Source organism: Homo sapiens, chromosome 6 (genome assembly GCF_000001405.40).
Source record: "Homo sapiens chromosome 6, GRCh38.p14 Primary Assembly".
NCBI classification, from domain to species: domain Eukaryota; kingdom Metazoa; phylum Chordata; class Mammalia; order Primates; family Hominidae; genus Homo; species Homo sapiens.
The window spans coordinates 113,599,212-113,605,624 of record NC_000006.12 but is presented as its reverse complement, the minus strand read 5'-3'; positions in this window follow the sequence as shown (position 1 = coordinate 113,605,624).

The window sequence follows — 6,413 nt, the reverse complement described above, 5'->3', positions numbered from 1 at the left end:
ACTTCTGCTTTCCATTGAGTTTCAGTCTGGTGGGAAAGCTAAGACTTGTACCTGTACATATAATATTCCAGGCAGTGATGATATGCCATTGCTGTGATGCAGACCCTGTGCTCCAGCAAATTTGAATGGAAGTATTCCAACTATGGTGGGGATAAGGTCTGGAGCTGAAGGATAGACTTCATTATGATAAAGATTGAAGGGCAGTGCTATGCAGTGTTGCAGAACCTATAACATGGAGGCTAGAAGGACAGATTGTGATCAGAAAATACTTCAAAATAAATTGTATTTTGTGTTCAACCTTGAAGAGTAGTAGTGCTTGAGACTGAAAGATTCATTAAGAGCCAGATTTGTTGGGCTAAGGGGTTTGGACTTAATTCCATCGATACTGAACTCGAAGATATTGAGTAGGAGCTTGGCAACTTCTCCATTTTATTATATACTCTTCTTTTCTTCTATATATTATTTTCTTTTCTTCTATATATTATTATAAACTCTTCTTTATTTATTAAGAAAATAAAGTTGGAGGGTAATCTGCAGGATAAACCAGAGGAGAGAGGGGCAAGAGAAGGAGGAAGGTCAGTTGGGAGGCTGTTGCAATACTCAAGGTGTGGTGTAATAAGAGTTGGAAATGAAGTGGGAGCAGTATAAATAAAAGAGAGAGAAGATATATCATGTGGAAGTGCTATTTCCCCAGAGAATTAAGTTTGCCTTGATTAGTGAACCAATAAAATTAGTTATGCTTACGCTAAGCTTTCCAGGAATGTAACAACTTATTTTGCAGGAATTTTGCCTAAGATTTACCTATGAGTGTTATGAAAAGGATTCAGTCAGTGACTTGAAAGACATATGTCAAATGATGTTTATCATAATCTTAAATCCAATATGCTTTCTTTTCCAACCCCCCACTGCCCATGATATTACCTATCCAATGCTCATCAATCCCTCTGAGACTGATGAGTCATTCTTGCTTGAAGATGGGGAAACTGCAGCCCAAAAGTTTAAGTATACAAAGTGACACAAAAGCCATATTCCCATTGCACCAGTTTTCTTTAGCAAGAGACAGGTCAGTACCCCTAACAATGGCTACTCAACAGTGAAGTGGTTTAATCAGGGCAAACTTGTGATGACCAGGCTAATTTGGAGATAATTAAAGCTGAGCATATTTGGAGGACAGAGGTTTCTTCCTAACAAAGGATGGTCCTTGATTGCTGAAGCTGGCATGGATAATTTAGGAAATTTAGGAGAATGAGATTGGATTGTTGTCATGAATTATCTGACATTTTTTTGGTCCAAATTAAGAAAAAAAATAGAATTGCTCATTCTTTACTTTGTGTATGTCCCAATCCACTTGTATTGATTCACCAATGGTAAGAGAAAATTGAAATACTGGACAGAACATAGAGTTCAGTTGAATACAAGGTTTGGCAGCATTGCTGAATATACATCCCAGTAAATGACATCAGAAAGCATGATTTAGTTAAACAATTATTATGAAAGTGCATTGGCTATGCATTATGTATTTATGTGTCTACTTGGGAACATAGAACTTTGAATTTTTCGTGTGTAAATGATGAGGTAGAAACAAGAAGAGGGAAGGAAGTTAGAGATTTTATCTAAAAGCAGAATTTTCTAAGTATTTATGCTTAAACAATTTTTTCCTTAAATTACTTAAACACTTACTCTTTAGTTGTGTGAAATGAAAATTATCCTTTTAGAGTTCTATTTTATTACTCAGTTTTGTTCGTACAGTGTTGTCCAAGAAGGCTGCACTGTAATGGGCTATGATTTACTTTTCTATCACAAACAAAAGAAGAATTATGGGACTTTGAAAGCTGACATGGGAGAAAAAGGAGGAAAAAAAGAAAATGTTTATACCTCCTCTTTTTGACATGGCTCCTTCAGAAATCGGATACTAAATATCTTCCTGCATCTGGAGGAGGGAAGAAAGAGACCATACAGGCAGTCTGTACATAATGTTGAAATAAAACCCTCTATTGTCCACCAAGACAATAGAACTAGCCTATAATAATGTAGTACAAGTAGAGCATAAATGACATAAGCCAGCAATGCAATCTTTGTTCCAGTGTAATCTTCCATATCAACCATCTACAATCTCCAGAGGTAAGAGAAAGGCCTTTCTTCCATTTCCTATAACTGGCCACCATTTCTCTCTCTCTCTCTCTCCCTCTCTCTCCTTGCTGGTTTTCCTTTGGGATGGCTAATCATGTTTGACAGCATAGGAACTGTCCTGAATCTTGGCTCAAACTGTTTGTATGCATGAGAAAAATTAGTTAGCTTCATTGTTTCAAAATTTACACGAGGTGTTTACTTTGGTGTGAAGAGATATAGGAATACTGAGAAATAAGGTATGGGTGCCCACAGAAAAAGCACTGCTGGGGAAGATTTCATTTCAATTTCTATCAAAAACATTAACACCTTTTCATAAAAATAGGAGATAAAGACACAGGCCATTACTGAAATAAAATATATATATATATACATACTCTATATATACACATATATACATATATGTACATACATATATATGTGTATATATATACATATTCGATATATATATAGAATATGTATATATATATACGTAATATGTGTGTGTGTGTGTGTGTGTGTGTGTGTGTGTATATATATATATACACACACACACACACACACACACACACACACATAGAAGAATAAAGCCAGAAGCACTGACTGGGCACACTGAAGCTGACAACAGATTCACTACTACCTGCTACTATGTGAGGCACTGGTGGGTCCTGCAATGATGAATAAGGCTGGCATACTGCTGTCTTAATGGAGATTACATGCATAGTGGGCTTTCTGCTCAAATGCAAAGATGAGCATTTGAGAAATATTGCAACCCTTGGAATGTTTTCTGAGCCTAACCAAATTTGAGCTCCTAACCTTGCATGAGTTTGTTCGTTACTAATCTTGCTGAAACCTATGACTTTAGGTTATATGCAGAAGTCAAAAATAATAAATTCTCAAGATATGTCATGTCTTTTTACAATAAAATTAACCTTTTGCCTAAGAGAAAATTCAATCTGTTAAAAATAGATAATGAATGGAAGGTATTAGTCTGTAAATGTAAAGAGAAGATCATTAAGAATTGAAAAAGCAGGCCAGGAGCAGTGGCTCACATCTGTAATCCCATAACTTTGGGAGGCCAAAGTGGGTGGATTACCTGAGCTCAGAAGTTCAAGATCAGCTTGGCTAACATGGCAAAACCCCATCTCTACTAAAAATACAAAAATTACCCTGGTGTGGTGGTACATACCTGTAGTCCCAACTACTTGGGAGGCTGAGGCAGGAGAATCGCTTGAACGTGGGTGGTGGAGGTTGCAGTGAGCTGAGATCACTCCACCGCATTCCAGCCTGGGAGACAGAGTAAGACCTTGCCTCAAAAAAAAGAAAAAAAAAAAAAAGAATGTCAAAAGCAACCAAAACAACAAGAAGAAATTTGTGTATTTAAAAAATTGAAAGGGCTCTGGAAGAGAAAAGTGTATGCTGTTGTCTTTGTTTTGCTTAAGAACAGGAGAGAAAGGAAAGAATTACAACACTCATAGCCCTCAACGGGCTACTCTCCTCAGAATGGAAAAGGCTGGTTTAACATCTCTTTGGTGCACCTTTGGTTTTGGCATGTGTCTCAGTGTCTGTTATATAGACATGTTCAATAATACTTATTGAATGAACAAATGTTCACCTATTGCTGTAGGGGATATAACAATGTCTTAGTTTGTTTTGTGCTCCTATAACAGACTACCATAAACTGGGAAATTTATGGTAAATAGAAATTTATTTCTCACACTTCTAGAGGCTGGGAATGCTGAGATCAAGGTGTCGACATCTGGTAAGGGCCATCATGCTGCATCATAACATGGCGAAAGGCATCACATAGCAAAAGGGGAAAGAAAGGAAGAAAGAGAGAGAAAGGGAGATATAAAATGGGGCCAAAGTCATTCTTTCATAGGGAATCCACTCCTGCAATAACAAACAGATTTTCCTGATAATGGCATTGATCCATTATGAGGGCAAAGCTCTCATGGCCTAATCACCTCTAAAAGTTTCCACCTTTTAATATTATTACACTGAAAATTAAATTTCAACATGGTTTGGGAAAGGACAAACATTCAAATCATAGCAATCAGTGAACAAAAACAAAGACCTTGATCTCACAAACCTTATAAACCATAGTTGGAAACATATATTAGATACATAAATATTTTGGGTTAAAAATATTAATAAGGAAAAATGAAGCAGTTAAATGTAGAATTATGGAGTAGTTTTTATATAGAACTATCATGAAAGACCTCTTTGGTTGGGGGATATTTAGTAGAAATCTGATGTGAGGGAACATGCTGGGCAGATATCTAGGAACAAGGTCTCTAGAGAGAAAGAATGGCAAGTGCAAAGGCCTTGGGGCAAGCATGTGTCTGGTATTTTTATAGCTATGAGGTCAGTGTGCCTGAAAGAGTAAGCAGTGGCAGAGTAGGAGGTCATGAGATCAGAGAGGTGAAGAGTGAGTGAGTAGGCAAGTCATAGATGAATCTTTTAGGCAACATTAAAGAGTTTGAATTTTATTGCAAACAAGATGGGTATATTAGTCTGTAATACTCTTTATTAATAAAGAGTATTTATTATTTATTATATCAATACATTGCTATAAAGAACTACCTGAGACTGGGTAATTTATAAAGAAGAGAGGTTTAATTGACTCAGAGTTTCACAGGCTGTACAGGAAGCATAGCTGGGGAGGCTTCAGGAAACTTACAATCATAATGGAAGGCAAAGAGGAAGCAGGAATATCTTACATGGCAGGAGAAAGAGGAAGAGTGCAAAGGGGAAGGTGCTACACACAACAACCAGATCTCGTGAGAACTCACTCACTATCACAAGAACGGCAAGGGGAAGTTCAAACCCATGAGACAATCACCTCCCATCAGGCCTCTTCTCCAACATTGGGGATTACAATTCCACATGAGATTTGAGTGGAGACACAAATCCAAACCATATCAACAGGTAGTTTATTCAGGGTCATAAATGAAGCTGTGAGGACTCCCTATTTCAGAAGTGATCTCAAACAAAGGGAAAATAAGTCTACATTTCACCAAGAAAATTTAGGTAAAATGTGCAAAATAATGTTTGGATTTTAAGGCATTTAGTCATTGGAAAAGTTTATTAAAGAGCAAGAATAAATCTCATTTCCTAGAGATCCTTAGAAAAATACAATGTTTATTTGACATAAAATACCACCTAGAGAAAAGAATCAATGTGCTTTTTTCCTCCAGCCACTTAAGCTAATCAACAATCAATTTGATTGACCATGTAATCATACTGACTTACTAATTAAGACCACTAGGAAAGCTGGAATATATTCAACCCCTGTGTCTATTGTTTTTCATCAGTAGGCACTTCCCAGGGGATATATCCTTTTGACTGTCTCCAGGACAGTGATTCTGCCATTATTTGACCCATGAACAACTTCAGTAGATCTTCAGTTATTTGTTCTAGAATTTGTCAGAATTCAGCTATCTGTGATCATAATTTTCAGTTGATGGCCACCACTATTTCCCCAAAAAATACTCAATAGAAGTGAGTTTGCCCTAGTGAAGAGTATTTTCTTTTTTTTTCTCAAGGGCACTAGGAATGAGATCAGTGCACATTGATTCCTGTAACATTTTGGTGACCTTTATAGATTAGTGACAATTAGTTGCCCAGCTGGCTGGTCCTACTCTTTTGTATTTATTTATTTATTTATTTATTTTTAATCCTGCTCCTTCTATAATGACTCTACTCTTAATGTGGTCATATAAACATGTTGTAAACAATAATGCTGCATAGCACTTGCCCAGGAGCCATGTAAGGGCTTCACAGGCCAGCTAAGACTCAGGCAGAGTGGCCAGGGGCATTTTGAAGAAGTGTGGGACTTGTGGTCTCAGACTCCTCCCCTACCTCCTTTATCATTCCCATGGAGACTGTAACATTCTCTTCTCTTTCCTGTGAATCATTGCTTGAGAGGCTTATCTTATTCCCTTTGCAAAGCACAGTGCCTGCAAAAGTAAGGGATTCATATTTGTTTGTTGGTTTTTGGTTTCTGTTTGTTTTAAAGAATGATGATGGATGCTCTAGTTGCTTTTAAAGAGTTAAATGATGTTTGCACTTGCTAAGAGGTCACAGTCTCCAGATGGTAATCTTTTCCACAGGGCTCAGGCTGAAGAGCCACACAGCCGGGCCCACCCTTTTCTTCCCTTCTATTCCCAAACTCCTCTGACAGCATGTTTTGTTAAGATTGGGACCATTAACATAGATTCTTTCCAACAGCAAACCAAAATTTCATGTTGGCAAAGTGTGAACTCAGTTCCGGGAAGGAAAAGTGAAGGATGTCTTGCTCTAGT